The sequence below is a fragment of the Homo sapiens genome, chromosome 8 (genome assembly GCF_000001405.40).
Source record: "Homo sapiens chromosome 8, GRCh38.p14 Primary Assembly".
NCBI lineage: Eukaryota > Metazoa > Chordata > Mammalia > Primates > Hominidae > Homo > Homo sapiens.
Window position 1 is genome coordinate 20,342,302 of NC_000008.11, and position 20,669 is coordinate 20,362,970.

Consider the following 20,669-nt stretch of genomic DNA (forward strand, 5'->3'; position numbering starts at 1 on the left):
TCACAGACGAGGTGATGTCTGAGCTATGGCGTTGTGAAGGGTGGCAGAGTGATGATCAAATCTAAGAGGCAGTTATTTCCTAAAATAGCTGCCAGGGACATGGATCATTGATCCTTTGCTCCCCGCGACTTGTCCTACTTCACCCCTGTAATTTTTCCACCAGTTGCTTCTTGCATGCACAAATAAGTAGGAAGAATGTGAATCATTCAGTCAGGAGACCTGGATTCTCATCTCAGCTACTAGTAACTTCCAATGTGACCTGAGCATTAGACACAGTTGTGAGTGCTGTGCTTTGAGAGGTAAAGAGGACATTTGCCATTGAATCCCTTTCTCCATTTAAGGAATCCTCTATCTAAAAATTCTAGGTCAGAGAAAAAGTCTATGTCTCATTGAGAATGTGAAATTTGCCAGTTTCCTGCCCTTCCTTGCAGCTCGGGTGGAGATTGGTGAACTCGGTTCTCCTGATCAGAAGCCCATTGGACAGGGTATGAATCAGAAGGAAGTGAGGACAGTGGTGAGTCCTCCTGCAGGTGGTAGCTGTCCCAGACAGGGCTGTGTCTCTGCAGTGCAAGCTGCAAAGTCCAGTGTCCACGATAGCAGCACCCGCTTTCTCCCATGACCTGCTCTGATGTCAGGCTTTGCTCCCGGACCGTGGTTCTCCTGCTCCCCTACCACATACATTGTCCTTTGAAGATGTTCCCTTTTTTTGGTGATGTAAGCATTCCCAGTTTCTGCTGCTTGCTACTAAGCACCTTAATTACTAACAATGGTGCAGGATATTTTCTTGACCTTTTCATGAGACTCACAACAGAGGTACCCTGTTTAGTCAGCCCGCCATGCTCAACCATTCACAGGAGGGAGCACAGAATTGAATGAGTGCAGGAACTGGCCAGCTGCTTAGGTGCTGGCAGGAGCAAACTCTGTGCAGGCCCTGTAGCAGCATCCAGGTGGGGGTGCCTGTGACCCCAAGGCCCCAGAGGGCATGTCACAATGCTCTCTTAGCTCTGCAGTCTGTGGACAGCAATGTGTTTTCAATTCAGTGGGCCCTTTGCCTCATCACGTGGGGCAGCTGTCCTCTGCCAGGGAGGGCAAAGAGCCACTGTGACAGCCTTTTTGGGTATCTGCACTTGGTGGCTCCTGAATTCTTGTCCAGTGCCCAAGAAGAATGAGGTCATGCAGACAAATCAAAGGATGGTAAATGCAGAGAATTTTATTGAAGGATTAAAATGGCTGTCAGTGGAGGGGGGAGCTGGAATTGGGATGGGATGGGGTCACTCTCCCATGAAGTCAAATCGCATCACTGCCTCTTTCCTCCAAAGTCAAGTCACCTCTTTCTGACGTCCAGCCACTGTCTCTGAAGTCAAGTCACCTCTTTCTGATGTCCAGCTGCTTCTCTGAAGTCAAGTCACCTCTCCCTGTGATCCAGCCACTTCTCTGAAGTCAAGTCACCTCTCCCCGACATCCAGCCATGTCTCTGAAGTCAGGTAATCTCTCTCCAATGTCCAGCTGCTTCTCTGAAGTCAAGTTGCCTCTTCTCAATGTCCAGCTGTTTCTCCTCTCTTACTGGCTGAGCCTGGGGTCTTTATAGGCACAGGATGGTTGGGGGTAAAAGTAGTTTTGGAAAGGGCAACACTCAATTTGTAAAAAGACTTTATTCAGAAAGAACCAATTGAGAGAGAGCCGGCAAACAGGAATAGAAGTTCTCACGTTGGGCTGCCAGTTTCAGGCTACTTTTGGCTTGAAGGTGGGGTTTCCACTGGGGACCTGTCCCTGTCTGCGTAGAGTTTCTCTGCCTCATGCCTCTATCACCACGGCTTGGACAAGATGCTCTCCAAGGTTCCTTCTATCTCAGTGTTCTGCAATTCTAGAATTTGTCTTTAGATCAGCTAGTGCATTGCTGGCCCCTAAATTAATGCTTACTGAGTGACTGAACAAATAGGCCACAGGATCCCTGCCTCAGACGTTCCCGTTGCTGTGCTTTTCACTATCTCACTCAGTGATCAGAGATACCCACATGGAGGTAGCAGGAGCCACATCAGCAAGAAGCAGCAATGCCGTTCCACCCTGCCCTATGATTTTATTAATGTTTTGGAAAATCGGCCAACATGGAAGCACTGTCTCCCTGCATGGTGTGCATCTGCTGGAGGATGTGCAAGATGTGGAAGCCATGGTTTCTATCCCCAGACAACAATAGTCTGATAAGGAAGAAGAGGTTAGCATATTTTAAACGTTTAGTGCTAAACAATGTCAAAGAGACATAAAGACCCAGAGAAAGGAGAAATTGGTGAACAGATTAAAAAAAAAGGAAGTGGTAGGCAGAGTATGAAAGTTTGAGTATGATTTAATTAAGCAGAAGGAAGTTCATATTTGGTTTGGAACCCAGCACAAGTTGGGGCCCAGAGCCAAGAACAAGTTGGAAACTTATTTGTCATTGGGGAATCAGGTTCACGTGGGGGAGTGGCAGGAATAGAGGGGATGTCTTATTTTCAACGGCCTTGATTGCTTGGCAGGTCCTTTCACACTCTGCTTGTAGGTTCAGAAAACAAACAAATGAGCTAGGTATGGTAACACAAGCCTATAGTCCCAGCTACTTGGGAGGCTGAGGTGGGAAGATCACTTGAGTCCAGGAGTTCGAGGGTGCAGTGAGCCATGATTGTACCATTTGCACTCCAGCCTGGGCGACAGAGCTGTCTCTAAAAAAAATTTTTTTAATGTTTTTAAAAAGTACACCAACAAACAAAGAATATCAACAAAGAAAATCACTAGACGCAGTTAGGTGGGAATCATTTGGAAACCAAAGGAGGAGAATTCAATTCAATAAGTGATTTTGCAGACTCTGGTCTAGGCACAGAGATACAGCAATAAACAAAACATAGCCTGTTCTCATAGAGCTTGTGTTCTATGAGGATCAAATAGATGATATATACACATGCACACACACATGTAGACACATCGATGTCAGGTGGTGATATGCATCTGAAGGAATCGAGCCAGGGAAGGGTACTCAGGAGTGCAGCTTCCAGGGGAGCATGCAGTGTTTGAGGGGTGTTAAGGGAGAGATCAGGTCACCTGATTGAAAGGTGAAACCAAAAGGAAGAGAGTGAGCTATTTGGGTTGCTAGGGAAAGAGTCATCTAAGCAGATGAAACAGCATGTGCAAAGGCCCTGAGGCACAAGCCTGTGGGGTGTTCATAGAACAACTGGTTGGCCAGTGCCATAGATGAAAAATGAACTGGGGGCTGGGCACGGTGGGTCATACCTGTAATCCCAGCACTTTGGGAGGCCGAGGCAGGTGGATCACTTGAGGTCAGGAGTTCAAGACCAGCCTGGCCAACACGACAAAACCCTGTTCCTATGCAAAAATTAGCCAAACATGGTGGCAGGCACCTGTAATCCCAGCTACTTGGGAGGCTGAGGCACAAGAATCACTTGAACCTAGGAGGTGGAGGTTGCTGGGAGCTGAGATGGCACCACTGCACTTCATCTTGGGTGACATAGTAAGATTCTGTCTCAAAAAAGAAAAGAAAAGAAAAGAAAAATGAGCTGGGCTGGGGAGAATGGAGAGTGGCAGGGGACAAAGTCGGAGGAGTCATGGGAGATGGTAGATCCTGAGAGGCCTTGGAAAACACGTGAGGAAAATAATCAATGTGGCGTACCTGCATACGCACTACCCACTACAATCCATGCTCCACTGCAGTTGGTGATTCCCATGGGTGAGCTGTGCTGGCTGCAATCAAATCCTAAAATGACCTGATGGCATTGAGAGCTTGTGGCTCCAGCTCCTTTCTTTTTCATGTGAAATCTCTTTCAGGAAAGCCCCACTTCTCCTGCTTTTCTATCCTGTTGGCTCATCTCACATCAATAGGCCGTGAAGCTGGCTAGGGCTTACACCACCTCCTAGCTTATGCTTGTCTTTGACAACATGAATAAAATGCTGATTTTCCTCAAGTGACCACTGTACCAACAACTGGTGAAGTTTTCTCCAAAAGTTTTTGCTTTTGAAAATCTATTTGGGCAATGCCAGCAATTTCCACTCTCACTGAGTTTGCCTGTGGTCCTGTTATTCTTGCATCCAGTTCATTTCATGCCTTGCCATTGGCTTGGCCTTAACTAATAGCGATGGCCTGTGTCTTCATGCTGTCTTAGTGCACAGCCGCACCTGCACCAAGCTGTACTGCAGACATAGCTGTAAGCTTCTGTTCTTCTCTTTAAGAATATCCCTGAGAGTCTCGTTTCCCTACCTGCACGAGGGATGGTGGAAGCCTTGCCTGCCACCCCAGTTTTCTCAGAAGCGAATGCTATGTGCATCCACTCCTTTCTAGCATCTTCTAATGATCTTTCATGTCCCTACTGAATGTTTCCCTTTGCATTGCCGCCCATGCCCACAGGACTGATGAAGCACACTCTGTGGTTGTCACTAGTGATCTGAAGGTGGAGCAGCGGTCTTTTAGGATGTTATAAGAACTGCATTAGAAATACAAAGGGTGGGTTTTCGAGAAATCATGAACTCCTGTGTCCAGGGTCTGGTTAATCTCAGGCAGATGGGCCTGCCGGGTTGCCCCTAAGAAACCTGTGTCAGTTGAGCCCCAAGGGCCGCTCCCTGGAGAGGCTCAGGATGTCCTTTTAAGGAGAGGGCTCACAGGGGCTAGAGGCAGAGCAGGACCCAGGCATCTTCAGTGGCTCTGACCAAGGTGCTGGCACCCTCCAATTGCCCCCAGCCCACTCGGGCTTTGCAGTTTCTCAATGATGTCCTCCCCTTCCTGAGTGTCCCTCCATTCACCCCACTGAGAAGCATTTCAGTGGGATGCTTAAGCACACAGGTTCTGAGCCAGAATGCCTGGCTTCCTGACTCTAACTCCCTAGCATGAGACCCTGGACAAACGACTTGACATCTCTGTGCCTCAGTTGCATTATCAATAAATTGGAAGTCATCAGAGTTCCCACTTCAAAAGACAGTTATAAGGATTTTACGTGTAAATAGGTAAAGCTCTTAGAATTATTAATGCATGAAAAGCTTGTAGCACACATTGTGGATATAAATGACTTCACAGGATTTGTTGGTTCTATCTTGAGGTCTGATGGTGCCTCCCAGGTACTTGCCCACCTCTGGCCAGAGTTCCTTCCACGTGAATTATGCTTGGCAGGTATAGGAACTCTTGTCTTCTTAAGGAATTAAAAAATGAATAAATGAATGAACATAGAAAGCCTCAGATCTTCAGGCAAGTGAACAAGTTCTCCTTTGTGCCCATCTCCCTGGATTTACAGCTTCATTTTGCCTATATATAGAAGAACCCATGACAAGAGAGTTTAGGGTGCATGACAGTACAGGAAAATGGCTTATGCAAACTGAGACCTTCAATTAATGCATGCAGTTTATATTAGTCTGTTTTCAAACTGCTATCAAGAACTACCTGAGACTGTATGATTTATAAAGAAAAGAGGTTTAATTGCCTCACAGTTCCACGTGGCTGGGGTGGCCTCAGGAAACTTACAATCATGGTGCAAGGAGAAGGGGAAGCAAGGCACATCTCATATGGTGGCAGGAGAGACAGCAAGAAGGGGGAAGTGCCAGACACTTATCAAACAACCAGATCTCGTGAGAACTCTTTCATGAGAACAGCATGGGGGAAACCCCCACTATGATACAACCACCTCCCACCAGGTCCCTCCCTCGACATGTGGGGATAACAATTTCAGTTGAGATTTGGGTGGGGATACAGTGCCTAACCATATCACACTAGTTCTTTCACTAGACCACAAGGAGACTTAAAAATAAAGAAGGTATGATTTCTGCCCTCCAAGAACTTACAGTCCTGTTAAAAGACAAGATTATTTAAATGAGATGCTGGGTCACAGGGGAGCATGGAGAAGGGGAGTATCAATGTGGGATGGTCTACTCTTGGGGAGAGTCTTCCCTGCAGAGAAGGGACTTCATGAATGGGTACACTGGACAGGTGGAAGGAAGATCATTTCAGCAGGAGGGCAGACATCAAGGTAAGGATGAGCATAACCTATTTATCTATGGACAGAGCCAGGGGAAGCAACTTTACCTCCCAAGGAGATCCCAAACCAAAGGAAGATGCATCCATTCTATTCACCTGCAGGCCTTCCTCTTAGATTGGGGTAGATAAGAAGCCTGGGCCGGGCATGATGGCTCACATCTGTAATCCTAGCACCTTGGGAGGCTGAGATGAGTGGAACACTTGAACCAAGGAATTTAAGACCAGCCTGAGCAACATGGTGAAACTCCGCCACTACAAAATACAAAAAAATTATCCAGGTGTGGTGGCATGCACCTGTAGTCCCAGCTACTCAGAAGGCTGAGGTGGGAGGATAGCTTGAACCCAGGGAGGTGGAGGCTTCAGTGAGCTGGGATCATGCCGCTGCACTCCAGCCTGGGTGACAGAGTGAGACCCTGTCTCAGAAAAAAAAAAAAAAACAAAAAACAACATCTGGGGTCTATAGGAAAATAGAGAACTCTTAACAAATCCTCAGATTTAAAGTGTACTGTAAAGGACAGGTTAAACTAACAGTTATCAAGGCAGTATTTTAAAAATAGATGTTATCTCTTATATTCTTCACAATGACCCTAAAGTTGGTTTTTCTGCACATATTTTACAGATGGACTTATGAGGTCAGTGGGTTTACCTATAAATTCCTGGTTTCTGCTGCTTACCTTTCCTTTACATCTCTCCTCTGTCCCCATCCATATTGCCTGCCTGCTTCTAGGAGCTGTAGAACCAGCAGCCAGAAGTTTCTTTGCTTCACTAATGCAATTGCCTTTCCTCAGGGTGAGTGGTAGGAAATCTGGTTCAGGCAGTGGGGAAAGGCAGGGAAATTGCTGGTTATATTTAGTGTCAGAGGCTCTCAGGGAGGAGCTGGGGGCTTGGCAGAATTTCCTTACAGCTTGGAGGCCCCTGGAGGCCTGAGGCACTGCCTGCTCAATTCTCAGAGTTCAGGCACAGATGGCCCTCGTCAGCCCTTGATTTGTGGGGGGGCACGGGTTCTCACTCCAGTGAGTCTAGGGGGAGGGATCTCCAGAGGTCTCTGCCCAGCTGGCCACCTCCTGCCCGAAACTATTCAGTATAGAAGAGGGAGGGAGAAAGACCAGATGGGCCACAGGCTTTGGGCCTCAAGGTGTGAATTTTGTCCTAACCTCAGTCATCTTGGGTACTAGAGGACAGACACCTCTTTATTAGGCAGCTGTTTGTTTGGTGATTAACCTAGGGAGCTTGGAAGGCACCCAGAATAATTGTCAAAGCCCGGCAGCCATCTCTGCTGCTGAGATCTTTGTGGGGTGGGGAAGGGTCCTGGGAGGCAGGGGCATCTCCCTGGAGTTACAGCTTCATTTTGCCTGTACATAGAAGAACCCATCAGAGAGTTTAGGGTGAATGAGTGTATAGGAAAATGGCCTTATGCAAACCGATCCCTCAATTAAATATATACACTTGGCCTTTCATGAGACCGTGAAGAAATTTAAAAACAAGATATGATTTCTGCTCTCTAGGAACTTACAGTCCTGTTTAAAGACACGAAGAGAAAAACGAGATGCCAAACCACAGTGGGAGTTTAGAGAAGACTGTGATGAGAGTTGGAGCATTCTTGGGGAGTCTTTGCTGCAGAGATGGGACTTTATGCATCAGTACATTCTTAAAGTGTCTACGCTGCCCCGGGATGCTGAGCCCCTGGACACCACAGGTGGCATTTCAGCTATGAGTGAGGGGGGGCATTTGGAAGGGGAGCCCCGAAGGGGAAGACAATGGCTCAGAGAGAATGAAGTCAGCACTTCCCAGCCTCTGTGTGCTGCGGTCCAAGGCTTCGGCCGGGAGCACTGCAGAGCAAAAGTTCTGAGAGCCACGGCTCAGGCTTAACTGGCCAGAGCGAGCTTGGCAGCTGCTCTCGTCCCAGCAGGCTTTGCTCTCTGAGGCAGTCATTCCCACCACACAAAGGCAGTTCTGTGCCTCCCAAAGGTGCTTGGGGCAGGAATGAAGAGCGGAACAGCCCCCATCAATCCAATAGGATTGTCGTTTTACGCTGGCGTGGAGCCTCAGACATCAAAAGGGCTGGAGAGTGAAGCCACGTGTGAGCCGTGAAGGTAAGCAGCTCTGCCTGTGCTCCCAAGCAGGGTGCCTATTCCGGGACAGCATGGAAGCTCCCATGGCCACAGCTACGAGGGAATTGAAGGGAGAAAGGGAGAGAGGGAGAGGGCGAGAGGGCGAGAGGGAGAGAGGGCCAGAGGGCCAGAGGGCGAGAGCGCGAGAGCGCGAGAGGGCGAGAGGGAGTGGCTGGGGAGAGGAAGCTAGAGGGTGTAGAAAGAGAAGGAGTCACACTCACACCTGGGGTTTGAGATCTTGTTCTCCCACTCACTAGCTGAGCAACCTTAGGCGAGCTGCTTCAGCCTCACCCAGCCTGTTTGTTGACAAAAATGGCGGGCTTACCACCCACTTCCATGCGGTCTATTTGAGCATGAAATGAATAAATATTGGTAAATCTGCAGTGTAGACTGTCAGGTACTATAAAATGTTTTTGCTGTTGAGTTGTTTACTGTTACCAAAAGAAGATACGGTCAGAACAAATTTGGGCCTTCTATGAGCTCCCCCAGGCCAGGAGAGGGTAGGGCAGCACTGACCATGCTGGAGGGGGGATGCTAGCTGGGAATACACAAGAAAGAAGAAAGATGCACACTACTTTCCAACTACCCGATCTCCCTGGTCCAGTAGGTAGACAGATTATGGGATGGAAAGAATCTTTAGCCAGTTCCAACCTCTGGGGACTTCGTGGTGAATTATTTCTAGGGAATTTTCTAATGCCTGGGCACAGGAAGCATTTTAGACAGGGTGAATATATCATGATTCCCCATGAGGCTATTTCTCAAATGTGCATGGATACTGTTGTGATTATTAAAATGTGAATTAATTGTAAAGCATCACAGAGTTCGTGGTGACTTTTGGTTTTAGGAATTTTCTTTTCTTTTTTTTTTTTTTTTTTTTGACGGAGTTTCACTCTTGTTGCCCAGGCTGGAGTGCAATGGCACGATCTCGGCTCATTGCAATCTCCGCCTCCCAGGTTCAAGCGACTCTCCTGCCTCAGCCTCCCGAGTAACTGGGATTACAGGCATGCGCCACCACCTCCATCTAATTTTGTATTTTGAGTAGAGACCGGGTTTCTCCATGTTGGTCAGGCTGGTCTCAAACTCCCTACCTTAGGTGATCCGCCCGCCTCGGCTTCCCAAAGTGCTGGGATTACAGGCGTGAGCCACCGCGCTTGGCTGGTTTGAGGAATTTTTTCTTAAACAGAGATGATTTGGTAGGGATGCTGGGTGATTTGTTAACTCTACAAGATGATTGGGGACCACTACTGTAGGGCAGGGCAAATTGTGTAGAGAATGCATTTGAGTAGCGAGGAGGTGAAGGAACAAATGCATAGGGGACTGAGGGGCGCCATGGAGAGGCAGTGTGAAGCCACACACAGGAAGAGCCTGTGCTTTGGGATCAGCTTAAGCTGGCTTCAATTCCCCGTTCTGCCCCTTATGTAGGCCTTGGGTAACAAACACACCTTTTGTAATCTTTATCCTTCATAGAATTCGTGAGGATCAAATGAGATATTATTTTAAAGTCATAGTTAGTCCTTGCAAATATGAGTTGAATAATGAAAAGAAGGCATCCCCTCTTTGACAAGATATTTCCCTTCTTGTATTTTCTCTAGTCCACTGTTCCCTACGTAAGGATCTCAGAGAAGCAGGTCTAAACTTAGAAGATTAAGAAGAAAAACAAAAAACAACCTAGTATTTGTATTTTCTCTCAAAGTAGTGGGGAAGCTGAGGAACTTCAGCGACTTAACTGTAGCCTCACCTTCCTTGAAGGAGGGGACCACAGGATTGCCACTGGATTTTTTGGGCTACATCTTGGTTGTTGGGTTGAGGCTTCAATGCTTGGATTAGACATCACTTCCACCATTAGCAGCTCACAAGACTGCCGGTGCTTAAGGAATGTGAGAGCGTCCATTCCCTGAGGTCTGAGACCGCCATTCGTTTCTGGCATAGAGCAGATGCTTTTGTTACAGGAAAGGGGTCCCGATCCTTTTATTAAGTTTATTAAAAAAGTGGAGGAATATAAGAATGGCTACTCCATAGAGAGAGCAGCACCGAGGGCTGCTGGTTGCTCATTTTTGTAGTTACTTCTTGATTACATGCTAAACAAGGGGTGGATTATTCATGCCTCCCCCTTTTAAAGCATATAGGGTAACTTCCTGATGTTGCCATGGCATTCGTAAACTGTCGTGGTGCTGGTGGTGGTGTGGCAGTGAGGATGACCAGAGGTCACTCTCATCTCCATCTTGTTTTTGGTGGGATTTGACCAGCTTCTTTACTGCAAACTGTTTTATCAGCAAGGTCTTTGTGACCTGCATCTTGTGCTGACCTCCTATCTCATCCTGGGACTTAGAATGCCTTAAGTGTCTGGGAATGCAGCCCAGTAGGTCTCAGACTCATTTTACCCAGCCCCTACTTAAGATGGAGTTGCTCTGGTTTACACGCCTCTGACAATCACGATATGTGGCTGAATGAGTGAGTGAGTGAGTGATTGAGTGGAGAATTCACGCCTTGTCTTGCCCTTGCCATCTCATTTCCAGGACAGCTGCTGGGGACTCTGGAGTGCTCTCTGTCTCCTTCTGCTTGGGCACACAGGCTTCTCCTTCTGCATGGGCAACACCCAGGCCCACCTAAAACTCCAGTTTTGGATCCCAGTTTCTTTCTCAGATGCCAAATATTTGGGAGCAGTGCTTTTCATTGTGTGCCTGATCCTGGAGCCTGAATCTCCACCTTGTTCCCTGATAGTGGGCAAAGGGATGCTTTTTTCCTGATGCAAGATGCAGTATTAGAGCCCTGCCAAAATCATGGGCTCAATTTCCCCCCTCCCACTCCCCTTCTGTACTCCTTTTGAACCAGATCGAGTTCAATTAAAAGAAAAAAGAAGCATGTTAACCCAATTCACATCCCTCACATTAAGGTGCTAATAACTTGGAGTTAAACCTCCTGGGGAACATTTGCATTTTAATAGAGTGTGCTTAGGACCATTCATGCTCTGGTGGGGGGACGTGTTTTGAACTGGGAGCCTGGAGATTTGGATTTAGTCCCCAAGCTACAATTAGCCCTTTGCCCTTGGGTAAGTGATCTCTCTCTCTCTTTGTCTGCTTAGACTCTCCAACTGGTCCCTAAATTTAAAATTTTGGACTAGATAATTTATCCCACATACACTTTATAACAATTTTATGAGACAGGTACTATTCATGGCACCATTTTACAGATGAGAAAACTGACGCCCAGGGAAGTCAATAAGTGTCTTACTGAAGGTCAGTCGCTACTGTGGAGCAGAACCAGGATTCAAACCCAGGCAGTACGATGCAAGCATCTTACCCACCTCACACCGTTCAGCCCCTCCCTGTCACATTTTCCCAAAATAAATAATCCTGTGTCATCATGAGGAAGAGCTTTGGGATGGGGTGGGGTGAGGGCCGAGGGAAAAGTTTGCTGGGGACCCATCACGGGGCATCACCTCCTCCTTTTCCTTTTCCTCTCTCCTGTCCCCACCCACTGGCCACACAAGCTAGAGCTGGGCCATTTGCTAGACAGAGGGGGTGGTGTTTACAGTTTCGTGAAAGGCAATCGCTAACCCTCTTGACCAACCATCACACCCTGTTGAATGTAACAGGTAACATCCTGCACACACATTCAGATCTGAGTACTTGACAGCAACTGTTTTTAATTTGCAGATGATAGTTGGTTTCATGAAAACAAAGATCTTCCTGCAAATCTTGTAGGTTAAAACTAAATAATTAACTGCATGAAAGTGAAGTACTCAAAATACAATTGGACATCAGATATGCTGATGAAAAGAAACTGAGAAGTGCACCCAGCAGAGCCAGCTGCCCTGCCCTCTCCACAGGGGCCTGGGGATGGGAATCCTACCCTCAGTGGGATATGGTGCTGGAGCTGTGGGTTGGAGCGATGTTCATGGGAAGAACATGTTGGCAGGGATAGTGGTAAGGGGAGTGAAGGGAAGAGAGAAATTCAGTTTCCTGGAAGATTTGTGACCAGTTCGTTGAGATGGCATTTCCATGGAATTCAGGAGACTGCATGGAACATAGATTTAAATTCAGAAGCTGGGAGTATATCCTGAGGACAGACACAAAGAAACCCCATGGTCCGAAGACCTACCAGAGAACATGCAGTTCAACAGGAATGAAAAGAAAAACAAATGTAAAAGTCGTCTCCTCTGTATAGATCTCTTAAGATGGAAGTGCCAGCAGCTACAGATCCTTCCAAGGTGCCAGGCAGTGCTCTAAGTGGATGTCACTGAAGTCCTGTAGCCAGGAGCTATTCGTATTACTGTCCCTACTTTGCGGAGGACTCACAGCACGCATGTTAAGACACTTTCTTTTGGTCATAGCTGGAGCCCATATTTGAAGCGGATGAGCTGGTTTAGGGGCCGTACTCAGCTGGTTGAGTGTCATAGAGGAAAGGACAGTGGGTACCAGAGGGATTTTCCTCAGTCCAGACACCTGAGTCCAGTCCCTGGGGACTTCAGGCTGGGTTATTTTGTCCTTAGTCTAATCTTGGAGGAGCAGGCACCCCTGCGGATGGGGCAGGGAGGAACATGGGTCACAGGTGCTCTGTGTGTAGACTTCATCTACTCTGCCTGCTTGCTGCCCCTCCTCAGGCACCTGGGCCTCCTGGGTGTCAGGAACCTCTCAGTGATCTCCTGGCAAATTGTTTCTTATCTGTCTGGCATTCCTCTCAGCAGGCCTTGAGTTGTAAGACTTGTCACCTGATAAATTAATTGCCCTTCCTCCAGACGTTCTTTTGTGTGTGTGTGTGTGTGTGTGTGTGTGTGTGTGTGTGTGTGATGATTTTCATTTCTTTTTTTTTTTAATTATACTTGAATTCTGGGATACATGTGCAGAACATGCAGGTTTGTTAAATAGGTATACGTGTGCCATGGTGGTTTGCTGCACCCATCAACCTGTCATCTACATTTGGTATTTCTCCTAATGCTATCCCACCCCTTGCCACCCATTGCCTGACAGGCCGCAGTGTATGATGTTCCCCTCCCTGCGCTCATATGTTCTCATTGTACAACTCCCACTTATGAGTGAGAACATGCGGTGTTTGGTTTTCTGTTCCTGTGTTAGTTTGCTGAGAATGATGGTTTCCAGCTTCGTCCATGTCCCTGCAAAGGACATGAACTCATTCTTGTCCCTGCAAAGGACATGAACTCATTCTTTACGGCTGCATAGTATTCCATGGTGTATATGTGCCACATTTTCTTTATCCAGTCTGTTATTGATGGGCATTTGGGTTGGTTCTAAGTCTTTGCTATTGTGAATACTGCTGCAATAAACATACGTGTGCATGTGTCTTTATAGTAGAATGATTTATAATTCTTTGGGTATATACCCAGTAATGGGATTGTGAGATCAGATGGTATTTCTGGTTCTAGATCCTTGAGGAATCACCACACTGTCTTCCACAATGGTTGAATTAATTTACATTCCCACCAACAGTGTGAAAACGTTCCTATTTCTCCCCATTCTCTCCGGCATCTGTTGTTTCCTGACTTTTTAATGATCACCATTCTAACTGGCGTGATGGTATCTCATTGTGGTTTTGATTTGCATTTCTCTGAAAACCAGTGATGATGATGAGCTTTTTTTCCCATATGTTTGTTGGCTGCATAAATGTCTTCTTTTGAAAAGTGTCAGGTGTAATTAACATATTTAGGTGTAATTAACATGTTTAAAGTGTGTTCCTCCATATGTTTTGACACATGCATACACCTGTGAAACCATCACCACAATCACAACTGTGACCATGTCCATCACCGCCAAAGCTTCGTCATTCAGTTTGGTGACCCTCTGCCCATCCCTCCTACATCCTCCTCCCCAGGTGACCACCCACCTGCTTTCTGTCTCTCTAGATTGGTTGGCAGTTTCTAGGATGTACATATAGGAAATCATACATGCCTGGCATGGTGATTCATGCCTGTAATCCCAGCACTTTGGGAGGCCAAGGTGGAAGGATTCCTTGAGGCTAGGAATTCAAGACCAGCTTGGGCAACATAGAGAGACCTGATCTCTACAAAAATAAATAAAACATTAACTGGGCATGGTGGTGCACACCTATAGTCCTAGCTACTTGGGAGGCTGAGGCAGGAGGATTGCTGGAGCCTAGGAATTTAAGGCTGCAGTGAGCTATGATTGTGCCATTGCAGTCCAGCCTGGATGACAGAGTAAGACCCTATCTCTAAAAACAAACAAAGAAACAAACAAAAACAAAGCAAAACAAAAAAAGAAATAGAATTATAGGGTATGTAGGTTTTTTTTGGTCAGCTTCCCTCACTCAGTATATTACTTTGATAGTTCAAATATTTTAGTTTTAGAAAACAATTTTCTATTTATAATAAAAAGTGAAAGTAAACAATGTATCCATTTAATTGGTAAAAAATTTCATGTCCGTTAAATTTGTGTCTGTATCATCCTTACTGTGATTGCTACTGGCAAAGAACAGCACATCCCTTTGAGATCCATCCAAATTGTGGTGTGCATGCGTAGTTCATTCCTTGTGATTGCTGAGTGTATTAGTCTATTCTTGCATTGGTATAAAGAACTACCTGGGACTGGGTAATTTATAAAGAAAAGAGGTTTAATTGACTCACAGATCCACATGGCTGGGAAGGCCTCAGGAAACTTACAATCGTGGTGGAAGGTGAAGGTGAAGCAGGCACCTTTTACATGGCCAGAGAAGGAGGAAGAGAGAGAGAAGGGGGAGGTGCTACTCACTTTTAAACAACCAGATCTCATGAGAACTCACTATAATGAGAACAGCAAGGGAGAAATCCACCCCCATGACCTAGTCACCTCCTATCAGGCCCCTCCTCCAACATTGGGGATTGCAATTTAACATGAGATTTGGGTGGGGACACAAAACCAAAGCTATCACTGAGGATTGTTCCACTGCATGGATGCTCTACCCAGTCACACCATCCAGGCCCAATCCAGCCATGTCTGGAGACTGACACCAATCTGTATCTGCAGTGCTCCAGTCGGCTCATTCTCACCAGGAACTGTTCATTGCAGGGAGAAAGGCCTAGCCAAATTTCCTTATTCACCATCAGAGAAATCAAATGTCAGAGCTGGAAAGATCCTTGATACCAGTGGGTCCCTGTTTGGGGTTGAATTGTGTCCCTTTCAAATCTATGTGTTTTAATTCCTAGTACCTCAGAATGTGACTGTATTTGGATACTGGACCTTTAAGTAGGTAATTAAGTTAAAATGTGATCAGCAGGGCAGGCCCTAATTCAAGATGCCTGATGCCCTTCTAAGAAGCGGAGATTAGGGTAAGGATACACACCAGAGGGAAGACTATGGGAAGGCAAAGGGAGAAGACGGCCATCTATAAGCCAAGGAGGGAGAGACCTCAGAAGAAACCAATCCTGCTAACACCTCAATCTTGGACTTCCAGCCTCCAGAATTGTGAGAGCGTCCATTCTGTTGTTGAAGGCACCCAGTCAAATGCTTTTTTATGGCATCCCAAGCAGACTAATGCAGCCCTGTATTACCCATTCAGTCCAACAAGCATTTGCTGAATGCTTTCTACATGACAGGCTGGGTCAGGGATATATTAGGAGGGAAGAGATGAGGTTTCCATCATTTAGAAACCTCTGGCCTCCTTGCATTTTGCATATCAACAAACCAAGGCTCAGATGGCTAAGCTGACTTCTTGAGATCATAATATCCTACTTCTTTATTCCTTTGGTCGTCTTGCCAAAGGGGACACCACAGTGTGACCCAGTGTGTGGGCTTTGAGGAAAGCTTGGTGTAGTGGAAAAGTGCCCTGAAGCAGGGGTCAAAAAAGCTAAGTTCTAGTCCAGACTCCATCCTCATTTGTTGTGTTGCCTCTAGCTTTCATCAGGCCTCTGTGAAATGGGCATGGTGATCCTCCTCCAGCCTTCTCCACGGGTGGCCATAAGAACCAAAGAAGAAAGTGCAGGCGAAGCTCCAAGTGGAAAGCATAATGATTAGGATGGGATGGGCCTTCAGGGAAGCCTGCTGGATGCCATCCAGGACACACTTGCTCCAGGTCTGCACTTGCCCTCAGAGCAGGTGTCTGCCATCTGGCTTCGACAATCTGTGCTGTTCTGTGTGTGCTAATGACACAGGCCTGTGCAGCCCTCTTCAGTTACCTTTGGCAGACCTAGACACAGGGGCCCTGGCTCCAGAGACAGTGCTGGCTCCTGTGGCACTTTAAGTATATGGAAAGACCCTTGAGACCAACGGGTCCCTGTTTGGGGCTGAATTGTGTCTCTTCCAAATCTAAATGTTCAAATCCCTAGTATCTCAGAATGTGACTGTATTTGGAGATTGGGCCTTTAAGTAGGTAATTAAGTTAAAATGAGGTCAAGCCTGCCATGGAGGTATACCCGATATGCCCTGTGAACCTTTGGTCACCCGCTGTGATGGCTGATCTTAGGTCTCAACTTAGCTATGCCATGGTCCCTAGATAATTGGTGAAACAACAGACTAGATGCTTCTGTGAGTGTAATTTTTAGATGACATTAACATTTAAAACAGCAGACTTTGAGTAAAACAGATTACTGTCCACAGGGTGGTGGGCCTCATCAGATCAGTTGAAAGCCTTAAGGTAAAACAGACTGAGGTCTCCCAAGAAAGAGAGAATTCCTCCTGGAGACCGCTTTTGGAATTGACCTGCAACCTTAACTCTTCCCTGGGTCTCCAGCCTGCCAGCCTGCTCTGCAAAATTCAGACTTTCCAGCCAACACAATTATGGGAGCCAATTCCTTAAAATAAATCTCTCTCTCTCTAAACATGTAATACACATATCCTGTTGGTTCTGTTTCTGTCGAGAACTCTGACTAATATACCCCACCTTATATCGTCAATGTGGGCTGCTATAACAAAATACCACAGATTAGGTGGCTTAAACAACAGACGTTTATTGCTCACAGTTCTAAAGACTGGGAAGTCCAAGATCAAGATGCCCACAGATTTGGTTCTTCCTGGCTTGCAGATAGCTGCCTTCTTACTGTGTCCTTGCGTGATGGAGAGAAAGTGAGCTTTGGTCTCTCTTCCTCTTCTTACAAGGGGACTAATCCTATTATGGCAGCCCCACCCCAATGGCTTCAACTAAACCTAATTACTTCCCAAAGTCCCACCTCCAAATACCATCACACTGGGGGTTAAGAGCTTCAACATATGAATTCTAGGGGGACACAAGCGTTAAGTCTGTAACACCCCGTTATCCCCATTCTCAAATAACTCTCATTTATTGAGCACTTATTGTGCTTACTAGCCAATGTTCTACACATATCATATGCAACCATACGTGAGTATTATTGTCTCTGTTTTACAGTTGGTGACCCTGAGGCACAGAAAGCTGAGGGAATTTGTTCGAAGTCACACAGCTGGTAAGTGTCCTGGAGTCTACTTTCTTGACCTCTGTGCTGTGCTGCCTCTTGGGTCCAAACCCACATACCTGAACATAAAATGAGCGCTTACACCTATCCAAAGAACAGAGACAGTGCAGCCTCTCAGGTGAGTGCACCAGTCCCCTGGCCACAGGAGGGACATGCAGATTTCTGGGAATGGTACCCTGTGAGTCATGACATTCTTGCTGAAGCTGCATCAACTGAGACCAGTCCTGCTCCTACTTCTTCGCCGGGCCACAATGGCTGGGATAGTGCCTTGCATGGATGCTGGCGCTCAGGGGCTGCTGATGGGCAATGAGGTAGATGGTCAGACATGGACCTACAAAAGCAAGCCTAGGCAGTGCCTCCCATCCGAGCCTTCTGGGATGGAGAAGACAAGTCCTTTACATAATCTAAAAGAAATTAGCAACTTCTGGCTCAAGCCTGAGTTTGCATGTTTGCCTCCCTTGCCTCCTAAATCCCACTGACATGACAGCAAAGATATAAAAAGGAAATCAACTCGTAACTGTGCTGAGAACAGCAGGGGTGGCCCTCTGTGCCCAGAGATTCTGGTGAATTTCTGAAAGACGGAAGAAGAAGGGAACATATGGAGGAAAAAGCTACAGTTTAGAACATGATCAGGAAAGTGCTGCCAGCGATGAGGGAGCAGATTACCCTCAAACACTGTGTGAAAAATATTTACACTATGTGCAGTATTAGTTTTATGATGATGATGATATATATAACAAATAACACATTTTCTCACTTTCAATCTGCTGATAATGGTCTTGGTGACATTAAGATGTTTTTTCTCAAGGTGTGTTAGCTGAGCCCTGGGCAGCTGCTGTCAGGCTCCTGTGGGCAGGCGCTTTCAATCTTGGCTTCTGTGGCCTTGGTAGAGGGCCACAAAAAGCTTCTGAGGTCATCTGCGAACATTATTGCTTCTATGGGCATTTTCCTGGGAGACCTTGGATACATTGCTTTGACCAGATTTGCAAAAAACTTAATGGTCCAAGACTGTCATTCACTGTCGGAGTTTTTGATGACTTTTCCAGTTTCCATGGTTGGGTTGTTGGTTTATCCAAAGTCATGTAGCAAGGCCATGATGGAGCTGTCGTGGGGCCACAGGTCTCAAGGCTCTGAGTTGGTGCTCTTTGCCACTTCCTAAGTATCCTTACAAATGAAAAGGGGCACATCCATTTTCTTAATGAGCAAAGCAGCCAAGAGTGGCACTGAGTTCAGACTCCTCTAAAAATCTGGTCCAGTCTGGGTGTGGTGGCTCACACCTGTAATCCCAGCACTTGGGAAGACTGAGGCAGGAGTATCACCTGATGCCAGGGGTTCAAGACCAGCCTGGGCAACATAGTGAGATCCTGTCTCTATAAAAATTGTTGAAAAAAATTAGTGGTGGCACGTACCTATAGTCCCAGCTACTTGGGAATCTGAAGCAGGAGGATGGCTTGAGTCCAGGAGTCCCAGGCTACAGTGAGCTATGATAGCAGCGCTGCACTCCAGCCTGGGTGACAGAGCAAGACCCTGTTTAAAAAAAAAAATCTGGTCCAGAAACACAGGGTGTGTCCTCAAAATAAATCCTGTCCAGATTCCAAATTGCTCACGTGTGCCTTGTCTCAAATAAGAACTACCATTACAAAGGGAGTGGCAGAGGCAAAGGACATTCCACTGCTTTTTTTTTGTTCCCTGTGACCTCCCCAAGTGTTTCTTCTCTGCAAATGCCCAGTAAGAGATGGCCTTCCCCTCCTCTGTATCCCCTCTTGGAGAGTCAACACGTCCAACTGAGCCCTCTTGTTGGCACTAATTGATGCCATTGGGTAATCCTTAATTACTGCCCACAGTTCCCCAGCATGTAATGAGTGGTGAGCCAGTGCCGCGGGGTTCCAACCAGCAGGCCTTAAAAATCTGAGCTGTTCACACGAGTAGCTGGAGCTGCTCTCTCTCTCTCTGGGTCCCTCCTTGTCTCAGAGTTGCATCATGCTGGGGAAATTTGCCCAATATCTGTACACGGACCCGTGGAGGCTGCTGGTGCACATCTGTTGGCCATCCCTGGCCAGAAACCACAGCAATCAGCTGGAATGGGCTTAATGGCCCATGCCTTGTCTCAATCTGTAGGCACATCTAAAGATTTGGCTTAGGGAGGTTCCCAGCTGATTGGCTGCCAGCTGGCTTCTGGATAGACAACTGTCTTTTGTGGTTATCCCATTCTTGGCCTAGGTGGACATTTTCAAAGTTCTCCTAGCTTTAAATTATTCATAGGCAGTTAGAGGGAGTCAGGGAGGGTTTGCCTAAAGCGCCGTTTTCACTCTAAGTTCTCATTTAAGGCAGGTTGGTGCTGGAGGAAGGTCACACCCTTTGGGTTCAGACATAACTTGGCTTATTCAGAGGACTAAATAAGTTAATACAGTAGGTGGCCCTTTATCTTTGGGGGCATGTTCCAAGACCCCCATTGAATGCCTGAGACCTTGAATAGTATAGAACCCTATATACACTATGTTTTTTTCCTATACATATGTAGCTATAATAAAGTTTAATTTATAAATTAGGCACAGTAAGAGATTAACAACTGATAAGAAAAAATTTATAATAATATAAGGTAATAAAAGTTATGTGAATGTATTCTCTCTCTCAAAATATCTTGGTATTTTCAGACAGTGATTGACTACATTGAAACCATGGAAAACAAAATGTTTTTTTGCAGTAACCGAAATGGAAAAAATGGAACTGAAGGTCGGGTGCAGTGGCTCATGCCTGTAATCCCAGCACTTTTGGAGGCCGAGGTGGGTGGATCACGATGTCAGGAGATCGAGACCATCCTGGCTAACATGGTGAAACCCTGTCTCTACTAAAAATACAAAAAAATTAGCCGGGCGTGGTGGCGGGCGCCTGTAGTCCCAGCTACTCAGGAGGCTGAGGCAGGAGAATGGCGTGAATCCAGGAGCCGAAGCTTGCAGTGAGCCAAGATCGCGCCACTGCTCTCCAGCCTGGGAGACAGTGTGAGACTCTGTCTCAAAAAAAAAAAAAAAAAAAAAAAAAAAGGAACCGAAGATAAGGGGAGACTACTGTATACATTTAAGTGCTAGGCAGTATGGCTGCCCCGTAGGAAGCTCTCTGGGTGTGACAATTGTTGTGGAGATTAGAGATTATGCCTGTAAAGCCTGGTAAACAGTAGCTAATA

The 20,669-nt window shown here is 46.5% G+C and overlaps 1 long non-coding RNA gene across 1 annotated transcript, besides 2 other annotated features; it reads left to right on the plus strand.

Annotated features, from left to right (window-relative positions):
• The first annotated feature begins 8,026 nt into the window (after window positions 1-8,026).
• Window positions 8,027-20,110, plus strand: LOC105379314 (uncharacterized). Its single transcript, NR_188141.1, has 2 exons — window positions 8,027-8,094; window positions 17,425-20,110. It is a non-coding gene; the product is annotated as an uncharacterized LOC105379314 (long non-coding RNA).
• Window positions 10,755-11,377: an enhancer, noted in NCBI's record as "OCT4-NANOG-H3K4me1 hESC enhancer chr8:20210567-20211189 (GRCh37/hg19 assembly coordinates)". NCBI's record gives its function as "activates a minimal SCP1, AML or CMV promoter by ChIP-STARR-seq in primed H9 embryonic stem cells {active_cell/tissue: H9 hESC(primed)}" and the evidence as "EXISTENCE:reporter gene assay evidence [ECO:0000049][PMID:30033119]".
• Window positions 12,528-13,051: an enhancer, noted in NCBI's record as "NANOG hESC enhancer chr8:20212340-20212863 (GRCh37/hg19 assembly coordinates)". NCBI's record gives its function as "activates a minimal SCP1, AML or CMV promoter by ChIP-STARR-seq in primed H9 embryonic stem cells {active_cell/tissue: H9 hESC(primed)}" and the evidence as "EXISTENCE:reporter gene assay evidence [ECO:0000049][PMID:30033119]".
• Window positions 20,111-20,669: the final 559 nt, after the last annotated feature.